General features: G+C 42.2%; 1 protein-coding gene across 49 annotated transcripts in view; it reads left to right on the forward strand.

The window, feature by feature from the left end:
* The window catches only part of LPP (LIM domain containing preferred translocation partner in lipoma), a 737,651-nt gene that overhangs the window by 32,939 nt on the left and 681,732 nt on the right, over window positions 1-22,980 (forward strand). For 13 of the 49 annotated variants that reach the window (XM_047448103.1, NM_001375457.1, NM_001375456.1 and 10 more), the window contains exon 2: window positions 22,241-22,359. The exons of 26 other annotated variants lie outside the window; for them this stretch is intronic. Coding sequence is in view for 3 of the 23 variants with exons in the window: in XM_047448097.1 (XP_047304053.1) it covers window positions 11,056-11,058 (3 nt within the window). In the remaining 20 variants the exon portion in view is untranslated. Of the gene's footprint in view, window positions 1-5,324; window positions 5,506-11,018; window positions 11,059-22,240; window positions 22,427-22,980 lie in introns of those variants that run through there. 10 more of the 49 variants (XM_047448109.1, NM_001375461.1, NM_001387674.1 and 7 more) reach the window with 7 other exon arrangements.

The following is a 22,980-nucleotide window of genomic DNA, read 5'->3' on the forward strand; positions in this document are numbered from 1 at the left end:
GCATTTCCCTGGCTTTAGAAACCTGAGAGAAGAAAAGCTGGTGTAGGAAAGGAGTGTCAGGCCTGCGGCTTCCTATTTCCTCATTCAGGGCACAGGTTGGGCTTGCCCGGAGCCATAGTTCTTGAGACTTAACCACCTCAGGCCTAAATCTGCCTTCTTTAATTACCTCCTTTCCAGGGAACAGGAGTCCTTGTTGTCTGCCCAGAGCTGCTAAATATAGCTCCAACCCCCAGGCCTTGGTGTGCTTCTGGGCCACAGTGCTGCACAGCCTGAGATGTCTGTTGATTTTGGGGTTTCCTCAGGGATTCTTTACATTTTCAAGTTTTCATAAGGGACTGCTTCTTATTTTGAAGCCAGCAAAGAGACTTGAAGGGCACAGAGTGTTGAAAATTTTATAGGAGGATGCTAGGAGAGAGTTAAAGAGCTTGGGTAGAGAAGGGGAAAGAGAAGTTCTTAAAAGAGGGCTAGGTGGCTTAAAAAGACGACCTTGTCATGCATTTAATGATCTTCAAAAGAGTGACATCTTGTAATGGTTTTCCCAGGAAAGCCCCTTCACATTTGACTTTTGTGACCTCTTGGTCCTGCTGTTGGCAGTTAATCCTTTCTAGCTTGAAATAATTTTTTTCTAAGTTTTTTTTTTTTTAATTTAAAAGGTGCTATAATACAGGCTTACAGTAAAAATAAAATAATGCGGAAGTGTTTACAATAAAACAGTAATTTCCTGTCCCATCTCTTCCCAAACCGGTTCCATTACCCATAGTCAACCACTTGTAACCATTTTTTGTTTTTGAGTTTTTTTGGTGGTTACTATCATATTTCTAAATAATATGCTTCTGTCTCATGCTTGAGTTACTAGTTTTAGATATGCCTATTAAACTTTATTTTATGATAGGTAAGGACTATTTATTTATATCCAATTGGTCCTTCCCAGTTCTCTTCCCAAGTCTTGACAGTTACATTTCTACTTTTATTCTTTGTGGTTTCCTTTATGTTTACAGAATATGCATAAATCTCAGTCTTTTGCTATATGAACTTTTGACAGTTTCGCTTCACTCACTATTTTGTAAGATGAAGATATTAGAGTTTCCCTCCACTTTTCCTCTCCACATTTACCCTTCAACTTGTCAATAATGTTTTAGGTTACCTTTTGCATCTCGAGGGTTTATAATGGATACATGCATATAGGCACATGTATATATTAATGGTTTTATACGTATAGCTAAGTCATCTGTGCTCTGTGGTTTGATTGCAAAAGCTGAAAAAATAAATAATATTTACATTATGATTTCTAGGTAAATATTGCTTAATACAGGGCTAAGTCATGTGCTGTGGTTTCATTTCCTTTTCTGGGGTTCTGAGGTCACCACCTTTAAGCCACTTATAGGAGACTGAACTTTCCCTTAGCATCAAAATCTAATAGATGATTGTAATTTTTTCTGTAGTTGTTCAGAGTCATTCTACATTTTGTTTATTTTATTTCTATAGTAAATAGATAATAAATAAGCTTCTTATTATAATTTCTTCTTATTTCTTAAAATTTTAGGCTGTATTTTGTTTTTGTTGAGAGAAAAAATTAGCATTTTCTACCATATCTCTTATGTATTCTGTCGTTCTCTTGTCTGCTTGGAGTCTGTTCTGTGTGTCTTCTTCAAGTTCCAGCAACTTTTTCTCTTATTTTGGACTGGTTTCTCCATATCTGGGCTATAATTTCTTACGCAGTTTCCCCCTCTTCCCTCCCACAAAGTTTCTAATTGCTTCCTTTTATTTAAACCCCTGTGTTTTTATTATGGTTTCAGATATTTCCAGGCTTTCATGGAGGCATTCTTCTGGAGCTCCTGAGTAATGTCATTATCTGTTAGTCATCATTATTAATATTCAGAAGCAGATATGTTATTAAAATATTATTCACCAATTTTTTAATACCAGGCAGTTTTGTTTGCTCTTTCTTTTTTTTCTCTACTGAATATTCATAGACATTCTAGTTTATTTTTTAATTCCTATATATTTAATAGCCACTCTCCTAGTCCACTGAGTGGATGTACTATTTTTAAAATTTAGCCATTTACATATTGTTGAATGGGAGTTATTGCCAGTTATTTGCTCTTATAAATAATACTCTTTTGAACATTTTTATGCATAAAGCCTTTTCATTAAATTATTTTATATGAATTCTTCATAGGGGAAGAAAACTGGAAAGCCTGTGTCATCATCTTTGAGGACATATGCCAGTTGACTACAATGGTGCTAGGTTTTAGTGGGGATCACTTGGCATTTCTTACTTAAGATCCTCTTTTTTCCTTTTGGAAAGGAGCAGTAAGAATTGGGAGGGGAGTACCACCTCTGAATCAGCACATTTAGTTTTCTTGGCAGCTTTTGGAAGATATAATGTATTGGGACTTATTGCAAAGTTGGTACTGCCTAGTAATTCACTGAGTTATCACCCTCCTTAAAGGAGTCCCCAGGGGTCAGCCAACACTCCATGACTTAGGCCCATGATGCTCTTGTCACCTAAAATCTTTGTATAACAATTATTTGGCGAAGTGTTATTCAGCATGATCATCTCCAACTGGATCATCACCCTTATTCACTGGAATTGTTTCTCGGTGACTTTGGGAAAAACCAGATTCATTCTTAAAACTCAAAGAGGAATTCCCATTGAGAATATGCTACAAGATCTACAACTGCTTCTACACGTGGTATATAAGGAAGGGTTTGAGGAATGGCAGGTTGTTAGAATGAATGGACTGCTGGGAAGAAATACATAGTGATGGGAAGCATGGTAATTGATGTATTGAAGATGCTGCATCATTGTTGGTCACCCTGCACCATGGTATTACTATAAAACTTCATCAGGCTAGCAACATTTACTCTATGGTTATGGATGAAATCTGCATCACATAATTACACAAAAATAGGATCCTTGTCTTTGAAAAGCTTAACAATTCATAGATGAACACTGATCATACTAAAAGAATATGTACCTGTTGCCCTATGGAAAAGACCTAAGCTTAATGACTCACAGTCTAATTATTTTGGTTAGTGGGTGATAATGTATTGGAGGTGATGATGAGACACATACATCCAAAATCTCACAGCTTGGAGAGGATGTGGTCCAACAGTGCTATTTTATTTATTTATTTATTTGAGACAGGGTCCCACTCTGTCACCCAGGCTGGAATGCACTGGCATGACTGAGGCTCACTGAAGCCTCAACCACCTCAGGCTCAGTTTGTCTTCCCACCTCAGCTTCCTGAGTAGCTGAGACTACAAGCATGTGCCATCATGCCCAGCTAAGTTTTGTATTTTTTAATAGTGACAGGGTTTCACCATGTTTCCCAGGCTGGTCTCAAACTCCTGAGCTCAAGTGAGCCTCCTACCTTGGCCTCCCAAAGCACTGGCATTACAGGCATGAGCCACCGCACTAGGCCCATAAGGAAGAGTTTCTGAGATGTGCGAGAGTGATAGGCAGGCCAGGGCCCTCTCTCAGGATATAATTGGGGCCACGCTGTGGTTTCTGATATTTGAGGAATTTGGAATTCTGATTTATTTTTGCCTAAGACACCTCATTCTCTGGAATACAAATTCCACATCTATAAAATGATAGGGTTGTATCTGATGGCCTGGGCTTTGTAAACCCTTCTGTTCTGAGTTCCATAACTCTGTGATTCTGGGTTCTGTCCCAAGTCCAAGATGATTTGAAAAGAATAAAAAAAAAAGACCTTGCTGAATCAGTACCAGCGTCACCTGCTTCAGTCTGGCTGGGAAGTAGGTCAGAACTTGGCAGACACGAGAATGTGGTTGGCTCCAACTGTGAGCTCTGCCAGGGTCCTTTGTAGACACCTGCCTTAGAAAGGGTCTGTGAAAGAGGGGGGTGCTGACACTCGGAGGTGGGGAAGGGTTTATTTTTGGCTGTAGATGCTGCAAGCGAAGAGGGGTGATTGATGAGAGGAGGTATTGGGGGACAGGGAATGAAAGACTGAAAGAAGGAGAGGAGCAGGCACGTATTGGGTGCATAACTTGTGTGGAGAAATGGCCAATATTTTTTTTACTCCTCCCACACACACTGTAACGTAGGTGGTAGGTGTCATTCTGTGGATTTTTTTTTTTTTTTTTTGAGATGAAGTTTCGCTCTGTCACCCAGGCTGGAGTGCAGTGGCATGATCTTGACTCACTGTAACCTCTGCCTCCTGGGTTCAAGCAATTCTCCCTGCCTCAGCATCCCGAGTAGCTGGGATTATAGGCATGGGCCACCATGCCTGGCTAAGTTTTGTATTTTTTTAGTAGAGACGGGGTTTCACCGTGTTGGTCAGGCTGGTCTTGAACTCCTGACCTCATGTGATCCGCCCGCCTCGGCCTCCCAAAGTGCTGGGATTACAGGCCTGAGCCACCGTGCCTGGCCCATTCTTTGGATTTTAATTATGAGGAGATTGAGGCTTGGAGATGTTTAGGTACCTGTCCAGCTAGGCTGCTGGTAAGTGAGGGAGAAGGAGTCAATGTGGGGTCTGACTCCATGTCGCCTCTTCCTTTCACGCTCTAACTGTGCCATGCTCTGTTCTAGGCACTGGGGATATAGTGATGAAGGAGGCAGGCAAAGTCCATGGTCTCATAAGTGCTTGCATTCTAGGAGGCAAGACAGACAACAAAGTAAACAGGTGCATATTTCAGAGGGTGACAAGCGCTAAGCAGCAGAGTATGACAGCAGTAGAAGGCAGGAGTGACAGAGTTGCATGTTGTGTTTTTACATCCTAGTCCATAAGATTGTGCACTGAGATGAGCTGATCTGAGGAAACCAACAGCTCTAGAGTAAGATTCTTGAGGTTAGAATTTAGCCCCGGCCATAATGTGAACCAACTGTGAAAGTTGAGCAAGTCACCTCCCCATCATTGTTAAAATGAAGGAAAATAATCCCTGTTCTTCTTATTTCACTAGATGATGAAAGAAGATGAAGTGAATAAGTTTGATGTGCCACCATTTTTAAAACTCTGGTTGGGGCCAGGCGTGGTGGCTCACGCCTGTAATCCCAGCACTTTGGGGGGCCGAGGCAGGTGGATCACGAGGTCAGAGATTCGAGACCAGCCTGGCCAACATGGTGAATCCCCATCTCTACTAAAAATACAAAAATTAGCTGGGAGTGGTATTGCATGCCTGTAATCCCAGCCACTTGAGAGGCTGAGATGTGAGAATCACTTGAACCCAGGAGGCCAAGGTTGCAGTGAGCTGAGATCGTGCCACTGCACTCTAGCCTGGGCGACAGAGCAAGACTTTGTCTCAAAACAGAAACAAAAACAAACAAAAAACCCAGTTGGTTTTAAAAATACAAGGAGCTGTTTTTAACAGTTTGGTTAACTTTTAAAGGATACCTTCTTATATTTATTTGCTACGCTTTGTGTGCTTGGAGGAAACAACTGTTTCTTTGGTTATTTCCTTATTCTTAGAATGAAGACCTCCTTTGCCATCTTCAGAAGAGTTTGGATTTGATTTGTGGGCATCAGAGGACCATTAAAGGTGTGGAGCCAAGAGCTGGCCTTTAGGTTTTGCCACTGGAAGTGGGTGAGGATGGAATGGAGGGGCAGCAGCCAGTGGTCAGAGAGATGGCTTGGGTAACTGTGGAAACTGGAATCAAATTCAGTCTGACCCCACAGTTTGATTCAACACAGCAGTCAGGTCAGCCAGTGAGCAAACACTCACTGAAGGTCCACTGTGAGCCAGGTGGTGGCTGAGGAGGGGAGGCATAGGAGACATTGAATCAACTCAGCCGTTGCTACGAGCTCACTGTAGCTGAGTGTTCTGGATGCTGGGGAGTCATGTGCTTCCGGACCTCAAGGAGCATCTTTTCCAGCAGTTAATATCTGTTCTGTTCCCAAAAGCATATAAATCAATGTTGATTTTAGTAGGCAAGTTATCCATGCAGACAGAGAGACGATATTTAAATATGTATAACACTGTATTGAAATAACTCTAGGTCTGCCAGAGGGGAACTTTAGTTGCTGGATCTTGAGGAGGTTTGAGGGTTCCTAGGGGGGGATTGGGAAAATTGGGATGGTGTTAGGACAACTAGGAGCCTCAAAACATAAACTATTTGGCAATGAGTAAGGGAATATTTAAATATTTTAGCAACCTGTGTTGCTATATCTCTGTGTACTGATGAATGTCAGTTTCTCATGTGGTTATACCACTATCTTATAGCATCCTCAATGTAGTACTTGATGTGCACACAAGGCACAGAGGAGGTAGCGATTAGAAAGGCTTCATGGGGTTGGTGATGCTTGAGTTGGGTTTTGTAAGATGAATAGGAGTTTGGTAAAGAACTTTCTAGGAAGAAGAGAGATCATGGGCAAGAACACCAGTGTGTGAAACAGCACAGGACTTGACTGGACAGTTGAGGGGTTCAGGTCTAAGGGATTTTGTGCTCAGGTAATTGTGAGCACAGTCGTCCTGTTAACAGCAGGGAAGAAAGGAGAAAGAGCAGCACATCCATTTAATCTCTCCCACAGGGTAGGGGAAATATCAAGATGAGACCATTTTTATTTTTATTTTAAATAATAGCTATCACATGCCAGGTGTTAGGCAGTTAGCAAACATTGTTTCTAATCTGACAGTAACTCCATGAAGTAGGAATTTTCATTCTTCACTCATTCTACAGGTTAAGAAATCAACTCAGCATATTTAAGTGACTTGCACAAAGTCACACAATGGCAAGAACAGGGTTTGATCTCAGTCTCATCTGACTACAAAGTCTGAACGTTCCGCTTTTCCACTGTATGGCCTCTCTCTCCTGGGAATTTGCAGTGAGTGACATCCATGAGAAACAGGGCCCTTTTCTTGCCTAGAAATGTAAGTTGTGACAAAAACTGGAGGTGTCCGTATCCTGTTCTGCAAAACGAGGACAAGAGTTCTTGCTCCAGGCGTCGGCAGTGCTCCGGAAAGACGAGGCCTCAGATGTACTGCTTTCCAATACCTTCAGCAAGACCATTCTCAGGGAGATGTTTCTCTCCATCTTTCCTTGCTGCCCCTGAGACTTTGACTTGACTTTTTACTCCTGTGAAACAACCTCCTGATGGTGATAGAAAGAATAGGCTGACCACATGGACATTTTGTGTTTATGCTGTTGTGACAGGGCTTTCTTAGAGTAAATCAATAACATGTTCCTGGTTGAGATTTGGCCTGTCCTATAACTTGACTTTAGGGAGAGAATGTGCTGATTATGCTGAAGATAGCGTGTTGGTTTGTGTGTCTTTCATGTTTATTACTGTACAAGAAGAAGTTGGCGTTCTGGTACCTCCCCTCCCTCAACCATTACAACAAGGAAAACAAAATCCACTGAGAGGCAGCATAGCATGGCGATGAAGAACATGGACTGTGAGCTAGATTGCCTAGATTCAGTTCCCAGCTCTGTCGCTGTCTAGATCTGTGTCTGTGTCTCGGTTTCCTTACCTGTAAAACGGGAATGATGATAATTGTAGCTACTGTACAAGGTTATTGGAAAGGTTAAATGAGTTCATATTTCTAAAGTATGTAAAAAATTGCCTGGCATACAACAAGTGCCATGTAAGTGTTTGTTAAGTGAGGACAACAACAAAATTTTATAAACTTGCCCTGCTTTCCACTGTTCCTTACAGGACATGATATTTGCACAAGTCTGACCTCTGTTGTGTGTGGTCAGGCACTGAAGGGTGACATGTTCACATGTGTGGTCTGGTGGACACTAGTTTTGATGACTGCTTTGCCATAAGAACTTCGCTGGCTATGGGAAAATGTGTGGTTGAGAAATAGCAAGTAGAAGGTTCTTTTTTTTTTTCTGCTAGTAGGATAGAGTTTGGGTTAAATGGCATTTGCAGCTGAGTTTATCCATTTTTAAATTTTTCCTGGAGTTACACTGTGCAGCCTATGCATCAATGGTTTTATCTGGCTCGATTAGTCAGTGGATAGTTTTTAATTTGACTTAAAAAATTGGGGGTCACATAAAGGGAACCAGCAAAAGATTTGGATTCTGATGAACAAGGTTTAAGGCTCAGCTCTGCCACTGACATGCTGTGTTACATGGGCAAGTCCCCACTCACCATCTTTGGTCCTTTATGTACTCTTCTGGTTCTCATTGTTTCTTCCCTGAAAAAATCAGGGTGCTGAATGGTCAGGTGAGCTCCCTATTCTCTGTTGGTGAGTGGCCCTCATTCCTGGTCAGTTAGCCATGGGCTATTGAGGGAAGATGTTTTATGAAGTGTATTGATGGTAAATTTAGACAGCAAAAGAATCCAATTGATCATCTTAATTTTTTCCTCTGTACTTCGTAATTGTGCCGATAAGAAGTCCTCATTTCAGCTTTACACCTTTTCTAATTTCCCAGATATTTCTGTGTATCACCAGAAGGCAGAATGGATCCAAATAGTTATTACCACTCAGCTCTTAGAAGTTGTTTGGGCTGGAGAAATGTTTTCATTATTAGGACACTTTCTGGGTCCTCTCTCTAGAGAGGCAACTGAGCCTCAACCATACCATCTCCCAGGCTCACTCCGTCCTGCCCAATCTGTTTACATCTCTACTTTGGAGGCAAGCTCTATCCAGTTCTACTAACCTCAGTGCGATGACTCAGGGAAAACCTAGTTTCTTTTTCCTAGGAAAATCAGGTTGACCACAACTTCTGTAGTTCTTGAGGGAAGAAGGGAAGTATAATGATGTTGGAAGTCAAAATATTGACATTAAGATAGCCAAGTGGAGTTTTATTATGTATGTATGCATGTAGACATGATTGAAATGTATATTACAAGCTCATATGACATACCTTTATAATAGAGAGGTACCTGTGGATTCTACCTTACTTTTGTTAGTGTTTTCACTGTTTCATGTGAGTTTTACAATGAACCTGTGAGATTTGCAGAGTTAAGAGTTATATACCCGTCTATGGTAGAAAACACAGGTTCATTCAGAGGAGTAAAGTGGCTTGCTTGAGATCTGTGTCAGTGGTAGTCTTCTGACTAGTGTTTCACAGAGTTGTTTTGACCTAAGAAAGTTAGAGCCTGGGCCAGACGCGGTGGCTCACGCCTGTAATCCCAGCACTTTGGGAGGCCGAGGTGGGCAGATCACCTGAGATCAGGAGTTCAAGACCAGCCTGGCCAACATGGTGAAACCTCGTCTCTACTAAAAGTACAAAAATTAGCTGGGCGTCGTGGCTTGTGGCTATAATCCCAGCTACTCAGGAGGCTTAGGCAGGAGAATTGCTTGAACCTGGGAGGTGGAGGTTGCAATAAGCTGAGATTGCGCCATTGCACTCCAGCCTGGGCGACAAGAGCGAGACTCTGTCAAAAAAAAAAAGAAAGAAAAAAGAAAGAGGCTGACGAAATTTGTGATTTTTGAAGCAACAGAGGAAATTTAGAAAGAATGAAACTTACGCCGTTAATATTAAGTTATACCAAGGATCTACTCATAATATAACCCAAGACTAGAAACTTAAAGTACTGTATAGTTGATAAAGAGAACGAAGCCGTAGAGAGTTTACTGAATTTCTCAATGAAGTGGCAAGCATCTATCCATCCTTCCATTCATTTTGTCATATTATTAGAAAAAAATACACAGCATGCCAGCTGCCATGTTGAGCCTTGATTCATCAAAGTTAAATTAGAATGACATATGGCAGTTTAGCATTTAAAATGTGGCTAGTTCGAACTGAGATGTGCCGTTAAGTATAACACACCAGATTTCAAAGGCTTAGTATAAAAAGTAATGTAAAATATCTTATTAATAAATTATATGATGTTCATTACTTCTTGGAATGATAATATTTTGGATATATTGGGTTAAATTAAAATGCATTTCTCCTATGATTTCCTGCTTTTTAAAAATGTGGCTGCAGGAAATTAACAATTTCATATGTGGCTTGCATCTTATTCCTTTTGGACAGCACTATTCTAGCTTGTGTCTAGTAGAGGAAGTAAGATTTATACGGACATGCTTTTCTGAGAGCGTGGCATCTCGCTTCTTTACTCCTCTGCCTTTATATTTGTCTCTACTGCCTCACCTTCTTTTGGCTTCTTAACCCATTCTGGTCGGATGGAAGTTGTTCTTGTCCGGGTCTAGAGGGCTCAGATGCATTCCTTTTTAGCAGTGCTCTTATTTGGCATTGGTGGTGCTGTTTCTGTTGACCACTCCCAGTGTCTCTGGATGTTTTGTTATTCCTTTACCTCCCTAGCCTCTCCTTGGGGTTTCTTTGCAGGCTCTTGCTCTCTCTTGTATCCCATAAATACAAGCATTGCAGAGCTTTGTCTCATGACTGCTAGGTGTTTATCTCCAGTTTGGAACTCCTGAACTTCAGGCCCACACTCCTACATGCCTTTTGGACACTCCAGTTGGAAATCCCAAAGTTGCATGGGGCTCACCGTGTCTTTTGGCATTGTTAGCTTGGTGAGTGACATCGCCCAATCCTGGAAACTGGGACTCATTCCGGATGGCTCCTCTCTGTCCTTCACTCTTGCCTCTGACTGTCCTCAGTCTTACAGAGTCAACCACGGTAACACGTCCTGCCCACTTCCCTCCTCCCTCTACCTTTGGAGCCTGTCCTCCATTCAGGCCCTCAGCATCTCTCTCCTGGAGTGCTTCAGCAGTCTCAGCTGGCCTTCTTTTTCTATTCTTACCCTCATCCATCCTATTCTCTCTTTTCTTCCTGAGTGATATTCCAAAAATGCAAATCTGTTCATGCTATGTCCCTGTTTTTAAAATCCTTCAATGCTTTCCTCATTCAGGGCAAATTAAGAATCCTTTGCATGAATTAAGGGACAGGAATGGAAAGAGGCAGGAAGTGGTTTGACCCCTGCCTCTTTCTGTCCTCATCTCACTAATCTCCAAGATGATCTTGTGCTCTAGGAATATACCTGGGATTCTCTGTAGCTCCCGTGACCTCACACATAGTGTTCCCTTGTCTGAAACACCATTGCCCACTCTATCAGTCCTTTCAAGATTTTGCTCTGATACCACCTCTGCCTGGAATACTCCTCTGACTGTTATTGTCTCTGCTTCCTCCATTTTAGGCCATTTGTTGAACTGGGCTGCATTTCCTTGAGAGCAATGGTAATTCTTTATATTTCTGTATCTTCAAATCAAAAATAGGTGTGCAAGTGATATTTGTTGAGCAAATAAATGCCAAATAATAAATTGTATAGATAAGACATTGTGGGAGTTGAGATAAAAATTCTAGCCAGGTAGGGATGGGAGCATGGAGGGTTCAAGGAATGGTGACATTTAAGATTGGCCTTCAATTTGGGTAGTATTGGGTGGGACAGTGCAGAGGAGACCCCTATAGTCATGGTTATTGTGCCATGTTCTGCAGGACTGAAGGATATTGAATAGGCCCATTCCCTGCTCAATACCATCACCACCAGAGTAGAATAAGGATGGTAATCTCAGGAGTCCCTTTGGGCTAGTGTCTATCATTTTCTCCTGAGCTGGGTTATATAACTCGGCAGAGCTTTATTGCCCCAGTACACAGCTGGCATGGCAGGCAGGCACTCCGATCCTTGCTTGTGAGCTGCCTTGGAGGAAGCGAGTGCAGAATGGTTGCCTGCGTTTTCATCTTTACTTCTCCTTCACAGCCGCCTTTCTGTATAGCATAGAGGTGACCTCAGCACCAGAGACAGGAAAGAACACAATGAGTCATCTCAGGCCCTAATGAGGTGCATAAGGGACCCTACTTAAGAGTGAGGGTCAGGTGAGGTCATGCTATGCCTGGGGTGAGTTTTGCCTCGGGGCTCCAGGCGGCACTGGAGCAGAGCTGAGCTAATTTTACCCACAGGAGCTGACTGTGCTGAAGGGCAGGGCTTATGACATTGGCCTTATCATCCTGTGATACCCAGAAAGCTCCCAAGGTGCAACCCCGTTATGTCTGGGCTGTTTTCCCCTCTTCTAGTTAAATACATTTTTCCATTAGGCGTGCATATCGAAAAGCAGGATGCTGAGGTGCAAAGAGCTTTGGATTTGGGTGGAAGGCCACGGAGTTGGATTTGGATCTCGCCCCTACCTTTGACCTTGCACAAGTTACATAATTCGAGTCTCAGTTTCCTCATTTGTAAAACCTCATTCGTATACCTGTGTCCTAAGATTGCTTCTAGGTTTACACACTTGGTGAAACGTAGCAAGCGATTGCTATGTGCCAGTCACTGTTCTAGCTGCTTTATTCATATTGTTTCACTTAATCCTCTAAAGAAACCTATGAGGATGGTGTTATTGTTATCCCTGTTTATAAATAGGGAAACAAATGCACAAGGAGCTTAGATAAGTTGCCCCAGGCCACCAGCCAGTGACAGAGCTGAATTCAGGCCAGTGGCTCCAGGCACCACACTCCTAAACAATATACCTTATTGTTTTGAAATGATAGAAACTTTCCTTGCTATATAGCACAGGCTTAATGTTTTCTAACTACCTGCTGTGTATAAGGGCCTGGGCTTGATGCTGGGTAAGAGAGCAGCATAGCTGTTGTGCTGTTCTGTAGACTTGAATCACATTTGTAGATGGAAGCCCTTGGTCAGCTGAAGGGTATGGTGGATAGACTTTGGTATCTGACATTGTAGGCACTGGGTGGAGTGCTCCTCACACGACCTCTCATCTCATCCTCATAACTTCTTCAATAGTCAGGCATTGGCATGCCCATTTTACAGATGAGGTAATAGAGAGGTAGCATCACCTCCTCACATTTACTTGGTAGACAGAGCGACTGGGGCTGTTGGGTCCCATGTTTATGTTGATTCATTTGCATTCCCCATGAACTGTGCAGTGTCTCAGAGCTATTATTGTTGCAGAACTCACCCCTGCCCTTCTGCCCACCACTGACAACCCTAGAGAAACTGGTGTCCATGAAAAACGTGGGTCACCAGATGAGAAAGTCACATCTGCATGGTCAGAGCAGGCACCAGGTGAAGGTAAAAGAAAGGGCTGGGCTTTGTTCCAATTGTTTATTACTGTGTAGCAAATTACCCCCAAACTCAGTGGTATACAACAATCGTTTAGTATGCTCATGGATTATGTGGATCAGGAACTTGGACAGAGCAAAGGGGGAATGACGCTTCTGTGCTCCACAATGCCTGGGATCTCAGCTGGAAGACTCGAAGGCTGGGTGCTAGAGGGATATGGTTGCTCACTCACTCACATGACATCTGAGACGTTAACCAGGCCTGTTGGTCAGAATATCTACATGTGGTCTTTCCATGTGGCCTGGACTTCCTCACAGCCTGGTGGCTGCTTCCAAAGGGCAAGCCTTGAGAGGAAGGGAGAGAGGGAGAAAGAGAGCGAGTGAGCATTAGCAGGTGCAGGAAGAAGCTGTAGATGCATCATCTCGCTATACTTTATTGGTCGGAGTAGTCCCCAACTCGCTTAGATTCAAGGGGAGAGGCAATAGACTTTACATCTTGGTGGGGTGGCCAAGTTCTGGAAGAGCATGTGGGACGGAAAATTTGCTGGAGCCTTTGTTGGAAAATACAACGGAGGCTCCTTTTGGCCAAAAAGGAGGAACAGACGTCTCTGTGGAGCTGCACGGAGGTAGAGCCACAGGGTATGCAGCAGGCGCACCTGTATGGTGCTGAGTATTCACTGGCAAATCAGGAAAACAAAGGTCAAGCCAGGAATCCTAAGGAAAGGATCAGTAGTTACGCTATAACCATGCTTCATTGTATATGAATTAGCGTTTATATTGTCCATAAACTAGTTTGTGTAACTCTGATTTGCTGATTACATCGACTGCTTATGTAACCCTGGAGTTCTAGGTCTATTTTGGATTTTTTTTTTTTTCTGTGAGATGGGGTTTTCCTGTTGCCTACCTAGGCTGGAGTTCAATGGCGTGATCTTGGCTCACTGCAACCTCCCCCTCCCAGGTTCAAGACATTCTCCTGCCTCAGCCTCCCGAGTAGCTGGGACTATAGGTGCACACCACCATGCCCAGCTAACTTTTGTATTTTTAGTAGAGACGGGGTTTCACCATGTTGGCCAGGCTGGTCTCGAACTCCTGACCTCAGGTGATCCTCCCAAAGTGCTGGGATTACAGCCTTGAGCCACCGCGCCTGGCCCTATTTGGCTTCTTATACTAAACTGAGATATTTTTTGTTCCTTCACAGAGGCAAGGGAGAAGCTTTTAGATATAGACAGACATAGGTCTCAGCCAAATAAATAAAGAATGAGTGATCGGTTAATTTATCTATTTTTTTTTCCCTCCTGCATCTAACAAAGTTCAGGAAAGACATTCTGTATAATTTAACAGGAAAGAGATGCTAACAAAGTTATTGAAAAGACTGGAGCTACTGGGTTTAAGAATTTTTTTTTTTTTTTTTTTCTGAGACGGAGTTTCACTCTTGTTGCCCAGGCTGGAGTGCAGTGGTGCGATCGCGGCTCACCGCAACCTCTGCCTCCCAGGTTCAAGAGATTCTCCTGTCTCAGCCTCCCGAGTAACTGTGATTACAGGCACATGCCACCATGCCCCACTAATTTTTGTATTTTTAGTGGAGACGGGGTTTCATCATATTGGTCAGGCTGGTTAGCCACAATCCAGGGATAAGGAAGATGTGATTAGGAAGCCACTGCTGAGGCCTCAGAAACTTTTCTCAACATCTTAATAGTTAGTGATGGGGCACTGGATTGGCCTATGGAGTGTCCTTTTGCCCTTCATGATTCCCTGGTATTGCTTGCCAGTAGAAATAGTAGCAGGAAGATTCAGCTTCACTTCCACCTTCCAGATCACACACAAGGAAATCTTACTGGCGGAACCTAATTTACTAGCTTTGAGGAAGTATGGGGAATGTAATTTTTAAGTCGGCTTCTGTGATGCAGAAAGGCACTCTAGCTGGTGGAAATAGTCTGATTGAGCCAGCCAAGAGAATATATCTACCCCCAACTTATCCATTTAAAATCCCCAGGAGTTATTATTCTGAAATACTTAATGTTTATAAGTAATTATAACACTGTAATATAATTACACTATGAAATTATGTTTAATATTTGTTTATTTATGTAAAATATATAAACTTAATATAATTAATACCCTGAAAAAACAGGCCAGTTGCCCACGTTCAGTTTCTGAACTGAGTTCTTATTTTTGACGACAGCAGTTGATTTGCAATTTTCCAGTTCAGTTTAATCTCCTCCTGGGAGTCATACCCTAGGACAGTTGTCTTGTTTACAAAATTTCTTCACAAACATTTATTAAACACTTACTATGGACCTGTCCCTGAGCTGGATTTGGCAATGTGGGGAGAGAGAAGTCAAGGATTCTTCCACTGGGAGCCAATACTGGGAAGGAGAATAAATCAGGCACACAGTTAGAACAGGGCAAGGAAGATGTTGATCAATGCCCTACACAGCAGGCTCAGCAAATCCAGGGAAGAGAGATTATTCTGACTGGGCTGAGAAGTAGAGAGTTTTATATAGTCTGTGATCCGGTGATTCTCTTTTGGGGGTAGTACCATCTCATTATGGGGCATTTAAAAATGTGACGGATGCCAGGCGTGGTGGCTCATGCCTGTAATCCCAGCACTCTGGGCGGCTAAGGCGGGCGGATCACTTGAGGTCAGGAGTTCGAGACCAGCCTGGCCAACGTGGCAAAACCCCATCTCTACTAAAAATACAAAAATTAGCCAGGAGTGGTGGCGCATGCCTGTAATCCCAGCTATTTGGGAGGCTGAGGCAGGAGAGTGGCCTGAACCCAAGAAGTGGAAGTTGCAGTGAGGTGAGATCATACCACTGCACTCCAGCCTGGGTGACAGAGTGAGATTCCATCTCAATAAGACAAAATAGCAGCATAATGGGGTGTCTTCTGTTGTCCCAACGACTGGAGATCAGGCTGCCATTGGCATTTAGTGGTTGGGGCCAGGGAAGTTAGACGTCCTTTAATACATGAAGACACCACAGATAAAAAACTGTCTTTCTCCAAAGGGTCATCTCATTCCTGTTGAAGACTACGAGTGTGCTTGATGATGTGTAGGACGTGGATATTTGGTGTTGGGAGTGGAAGGATAGCAGGTCAAGCAGAGGGGACAAGGTGAGCCAAGAGTTTAGTTTAAATAAAGCAAAGAATATGTGTTGAGTGGCAATGGGAGAAAGTTTATGGTGGCAATAGAAGCTTCGGTCCCGGTTGTGGAGAAACTAGAGCTACTAGATAAAGCACTTGGACTTCCCCTGTTGCCATTGGGAAGCCATTTCAGATATTGGAGCAGGTCCTTGAGAGCAGAAACGTAGCCTCGTCTTGGCACCATGCATCATGTAAACATCAGTAATGCTTTTTGAATGAATGAATGCCTCAAACTGTAGTTTACAGGTGTTAGACTAGTGGGTACCTGAGTTTTGCCAGATTTAGGATCCTGTGGTTCTGGGAGGGCCCTGGCAGCCAGCATTTGGACTTTTAGAGAATACATGGAAAGGGCACAGTGGCGTGCCACACAGATACTGTCTCCACATTGTGGTCAGGCAGCAGCAGTACTTGCTGACACCGAAGAGAGATGTGAAAAAGAGAGATTCTTGCATGGACTCCTGTGTGAGGCCCATAAGCCATGAGGCATGTAGGGAGCAGACTGTGTCGTCTGCATCAATGCTCTTGCATCTTGAGCTTTTAAAAAATTGCCATTCAAACCAGCAATTTGCTGACAAGGTTCACGCGCTATGACCATGACTGCAGTTGATCCTGGGGAGTGGCTTGCTTGTCTGCCTGGGGATGGCAGCCGCGTGCGTTCCCTGTGCTGTCCTGTAGGGTTGTGGTGGCTTTCTGATATTCAGGTTGGTCCCTTTTCCTTCTTTTTGGATGGGCTTTCGAGGTTGGGAGAGGAAGCTCAGGGATGGAACTGACTAAACATATGTGAGATGTTTCCTTGTTTGCTGCTCATGGAGGTTTCATTTCTGAAGTCTTTTCTTGGGAGGGAAAAGGATGTGTGGATATATGAGGTGACTCTAGAACCCTCATTTTATGGATGAAGAAACTGTGATTCACAGAGGGAGAGTGATTTGTCCAGTGTCACGTGGGGAGCTGGCCGGGGAGCCAGACCTCCTGTACCTTTTATTGCAGGGTTTATTTTATATATATTTGCTGGCAAAAAGAAGGAAAGAGAAACAATTTATATGTTTTTTATTTATAATAAAAATATTTATTATAATTATATAATAATTAAATTATAGTAAAAATATTTATTTATAATATAAATATAAAATGTATATTATATTATAATTATATATAATTATATTGTAATTAAATTATATATAATTTTATATATTATATATTATATATATTAAATTATAATACAGCATATTGTAATACAATATATTTTATATTAATATAGTATAGTAAAATATATAATATATAATATAATTTCATTATAATAAAATATAATAAAAATATTTAAAAATGTATTTTATATTTACATATATATTTAAATATATACATATATTTATATAAATATATATTAATATTTATATATTAATATATATTTTTATAAATATATATATAATATAAATATAAATATATATTTATATAAATATATATAAATATATATATTTTTAAATATATATATATTTTTAAATATATATAAATATATATATTTAAATATATATAAATATATATTTAAATATATATATATTTTTAAATATATATAAATATATATTTAAATATATATATATTTAAATATATATAAATATATATTTAAATATATATACATATCAAATATGTATATATATTTTTTCTCTTTTTTGTAGAGAGAAGATCTCGCTATGTTGCCCAGGCTGGTCTCAAACTCCTAGGCTCAAGCAATCCTTCTGCCTTGGCCTCCCAAAGTGCTGGGATTACAGGCATGAGCCCCTGGCCTTATAGCAGGGTTTAAATTACACCCACTTTGGGGGAAGAGAGAGTGGTGTGTGCAGGCTTTGGTGCCAAAGGCTTGCACATGGTTACTGGCTCAGCCACTTACTATAAAATTTGTAAAATAGGCACCATGGACACATCTGATATTAAGCATTTAAAAAGAGGAGCTGTGTGAAAAGTTTTGTTGACTACAAAGAGCTACAGACATCTTCCTTTTTATCTTGATGTGGATGTTTATGCACTGGGAATTGGTGGGGCCATCTTTAGAGAAGGGGTGGGCCAGTGAAGACACTACTGACCATACCCCAATCAGAAAACACTCCCAAGGGGCTCACTTCCCCACTGTGCAGTAAAGAGGTTTTGCACTGAGATTTGGAGGTACAGCACAAGGCGGGGAAAGCATGAGCCAAGTTTTGAGTCCTGTGGAATTGAGGGTGCACTCCTGCCTGGGGCCAGGGGTTCTTGTAGCAATATAAAGGGAGACGTGGCTAAAAACATAGATTGGGCTCATCCTGGAGGCCTTGAGTCTGGCCTGAGGGTGAGTGGATGCTATCGTTTGTGTTGTTTAGAGCACTGGTGAGGAGTCAACTGGGAAAATCTCAATGAAATGCATCTTTAGGATGTGCCGGGAATCTTGGCAGTAACTCAGGAGGGCAACAGGGAATCTTGCAATTGGAGTAGCGGGGGGTGATTCTCAAGTTTTGGACACATTCTAAGTAACTTTTTGCAGTGCTTCAACTTTTTACTTGAGTTTATAATAACAATGGCAATATTTTTTATAGTTGTAGAGCTATATGAAATATTTTTACACCTGTTGGCTTCATTGTTCATACAATATCTTAGTGAGGGGGAAGGTAGGATTGTTTTCGTTCCTGTTTTACAGACAAGGAAATTGAGGCTCAGAGAGCAGATGGGATTTCTCTGGCCGCTTGGCTGGTTGATGTGGAAGTCAGGAGTGAGGATGCCAAGTTTCACACTTCTTCCTGTGCCAATGACCTGGAGGAGTGTTTTTCTCAAACTCACATTTCTTTATCCTCCACAGTCTTGGGTGTCACTCTTGGAAGTGTAAGATGGTCATGAGTTTCAAAGATTTCTGAGATAAGCTGTTAAGATTTTCAAAGATGAGCTATAGAGAATTTGGGACATAAAATGTGTTTCTTCCAGTAACTCTTGCTTGCTATCATGTTGTTGGTTCAAATTGAACATGTTGATAAGTGCCAGGGAGGAAAGAAACCAGTACCTGCTACTTATTGGGCACCTTTTTTGCCCTGAACTCAGTACTGCCTGCTTTTCCATTTGAGTATCTAGAAACATTTATGGATGGAGTGATTGTAATATTGTACAATTCTGTCAACTAGTTTATTAGCTAATTCTCATAAAAGCCTTAGGAGGTAGATAAACAATATTATTTTCCATTTTACAGATGAGAAAACTGAGGTTTAGAGAGATGAAATAACTTGCTTATAACTTGCTTGAGAGAACACAGGTCCTAAATAGATTATAATCTTTTTTTTTTTTTTTTTTTTTTTGGCAGAGTCTTGCTCTGTCATCCAGGCTGGAGTGCAATGGTGCAATCTTGGCTCACTGCAACCTCCGCCCCACCAGGTTCAAGCGATTCTCCTGCTTCAGCCTCCCAAGTAGCTGGGATTACAGGTGCACACCACCACACCCAGCTAATTTTTGTATTTTTAGTAGAGACGGGGTTTCACCGTGTTGGCCAGGCTGGTCTTGAACTCCTGACCTCAAGTGATCTGCCTGCCTCGGCCTCCCAAAGTGCTGGGATTACAGGCCTGAGCCACTGCACCCAGCTGTAAGTAGAGTATAATGTAAGTTTTCTAATTTGAGACTTCTTTCTTCCTTGCTGCACCCCATCTACGCCATGTGTTGCCCATCCCACTGGTGAAAATGCAGAGCTGCTTGTTAAGGAGGTACATGTCAGACCTTGGAATTTACTGGAATCAGACCTGGAAGGTACTATGAAGAGCTCAGAAGGCTGGTGGTTTTCAAGCTGTTCTCTTCTGAGCCTGAGAGACTCCAGGAGTCATCTTGAGGGATATAGCACGGAGGGAGGTGAAAAGTGGTGGGAAGTGGAGGAAGGAAGGGGACCGCTAGAGCCAACCTGAGTCGCTCTGCTTTTTCCTATTTTGTAAGCTAAACATTGTCAAAGCATCCATTTAAAGGAAAAGTTCTGCTGCTACATATAAAAGTTAAAAAACCACTGTGTCTACCCTTCCTTTTGCTAACACTGAGAGGCAGAGTGGTTCAGCACAAGGGGACACAAAGTGGCTTAGCACGAGTCACGAGATGTGACGGGTCTGAGACCTCTCAGCCTAGAGCTCCCTTACCCCTGGGCCACTTTGTTAGACACACCTCCTTTAATTCAAATCCCCGTCTCAGTGGGACATGGCTTTTTCATTTTTTCAAGGAAAGGTTTAATCTGTCCAGATCCCTGTGAAGATCTTGGCTCTTGGCGCACCTGCTGGAGGTTCGAGGTCCTGCAACCACAGAGTAGCTGCAGGACCTTCAGGATGTCCCGAGCCACAAGGTCTTTGACCTGCATTTTGCAACCTGGTTGTGTCTCCCCTTTGGACTCTGGGAACCTTGCTGAGATTGGTACAATATCTGTGCTAAAAAGGTTTGAAATTATAGCTAGTATTGTGTTACCTTCCTGGTCCAACCTTCACAGACATTGTCTGACTAAGTATATATAACTCTTGAGTGTTCACTGTGTACACCGGCTCACAAGAAAGGCAAGGTTCCTGATCCCAAGGATCTAATGGAGAGACAGAAACAAATATAAACTTTTGTCAACTATTTCAGAGACAGTTATTTTTGTTATACAAGATTGTTATGCATGCTAGTTATGTGGAGAGGATTTCATCTCTTAGAAATGAGACGGGGAGAATCTGGGCGATGAGAAAGAAGACCAGAACTGGGGAGTACAGTCTAGAATTGCAAGGGGTTGAGTTTGCTATGTGAAGCAGTTAGTTTTGGACTGTTGCACTTACTATTTCTGAGATTTGAGCATCTGACTTTTCCTTTAAGCTTTTGTTTTCTCATTTGTAATATGGGAGTGAGAGTGCCTAGTTCACAGGGTCATTGCTGGGGTTAAATGAGATAATGTATGTAACCTGCTTAGTATAATACCTAGCACAGAGTAAACACTCATTAAATTTTCATTGTTATCGTTGTTATGATTTGGCAGCGAGGAGTCAAAAGAGCCTATTTTCTTAAACTCATCAATGGTATAATCAGAGCTTTGCATCTCGAAGTAAAGGAACACTCTGCTTTTATTATTTATTTATTTTTCACTCTGCTTTTAGACATAGAATTCAATTGCCTCAGGCTACAACAAACTGGCTTCAATCTACCTTTCTGAGTTAACTTCTGTTTATTTCTATCCATCTGCCCACTTCTCTCACTAGTGACCTACACATTTTCTTTTTTTTTTTTTTCTTTTCTTTTTTTTTTTTTTCTTGAGGTGGACTCTTGCCCTGTTGTCCAGGCTTGAGTGCAGTGGCATAATCTTAGCTGACTGCAACCTCTTCCTGCCGGGTTCGAGCCATTCTCCTGCCTCAGCCCCCTGAATAGCTGGGATTACAGGCACACACCACCACGCCTGTTTAGTTTTTGTATTTTTAGTAGAGATGGGGTTTCACCAGGTTGGCCATGCTGGTCTTGAACTCCTGACCTCAGGTGATCCGCCTGCCTCGGCCTCCCAAAGTGCTGGGATTACAGGTGTGAGCCACCGTGCTCCACCCACATTTTCTAAGCTTGATTTTAACTTGCTGGTCTTTGTCATATCTTCTCAGTCATTGCTGGGGTTCAAATCTTTCTTTTCTTTTTCTTCTTTTTTTTTTTTTTTTTTAAAGATGGGAATCTCACTATGTTTCCCAGGCTGGTCTTGAACTCCTGGGCTCAAGTAATACTGCCTTGGCCTCCTGAGTAGCTGGGACCATAGACATATGCCACTGTGTCTGGCTTAAATATTTCCTTCTGTCGGAATGCCCTTTGTTCCTTCATCTGTGCCCCCCTGCTCCATCCTCTTTTAATTCCTAGCCCAAAAGTCTAACCCACCCATTGGGAGGGATTCTGCAGAACTCATAGAGTTTACAACATCTTGTCCTTCAATTGCAGTCAGTCTCTGTCTTGAACTGGATTTGTGAGCTCCTTGAAGTTGTTTGTATCTCACAGCTCTTTGCTGTAACATCCCTGGGGATTCAAGCACGCACACATAGTAGATGCTCACACATCTATGCAATAAATTACTTTAGTGTCTTTCTCAAATGATCAGCACAGGAAGCAAATGATAAAATGCAAACCAGAAAACAGACCTCACTGGGCTCTGTGCTTGTCAGCCTTGGGAATGGATTTCTGGCGAAGATCCGGCCCCTCTACAAATGACAGAGATGACTTGGCTCTTTTCAGGAATTGAAGAGAATCCTGACAAGTGGCATGTTGGGAAAGGCCTGAAGGAAGCCAGACCAGCTTGCTCTCAGAGCTCCTTGGGTCCCCTGCGGCCCCCAGGTGATCTTCAGCAAGACCTGGTATGTAAATGAGCCTCATCTGCTGGCTCAGCCTGCTGCCCACTGCTAGGGATGCTAGAATTCCAGGGTAAGCTTCTGTGAGCCGGGCTGGGAGGTTTAGTGGGTTGGAGATTACTAGCTTTTTGGTATCTGCAGCTTGAAATACCTTGTGCCCTTGATTAATTCATGCTTGGGAGCATCCTCAGTGCTCTCTGGAAAATAGCTCCTTACTGTATGTTTATTTCCCCACGGGCTTATTTCAGAGAGACTGGAGCCTGTGTTTCTAACAGCTTCTCCAAGGAAAACATCGCAGGCCACGTTTCCGGAACTGAGAATCTCAGGGGGTCTTTGAAACGTCCATCTCTATTACCTCCTTTTGGCCCAGCATTTGCTTTTAGCTGAAAAGGGAGATTTTGTCTTGAGCCTTCCTGTAGACATATGTGACTTGGAGTTTGAAAATCTGACAGCTGCTGCTGAGCTTTGAACTGCAAGAGTGAGCAGCATATAGACATAACCCCGTAGAACATCAAATCATTTTCCTTTAATTCCCAGAGACTTAATGTTTCTTTGTCTTGCGAATGACCTCACTGCTTTTTGTATTTGTAATGGAATGCACAGTCATTTGTAAGTAATCACACAATA

Source organism: Homo sapiens, chromosome 3 (genome assembly GCF_000001405.40).
Source record: "Homo sapiens chromosome 3, GRCh38.p14 Primary Assembly".
Taxonomy (NCBI): domain Eukaryota; kingdom Metazoa; phylum Chordata; class Mammalia; order Primates; family Hominidae; genus Homo; species Homo sapiens.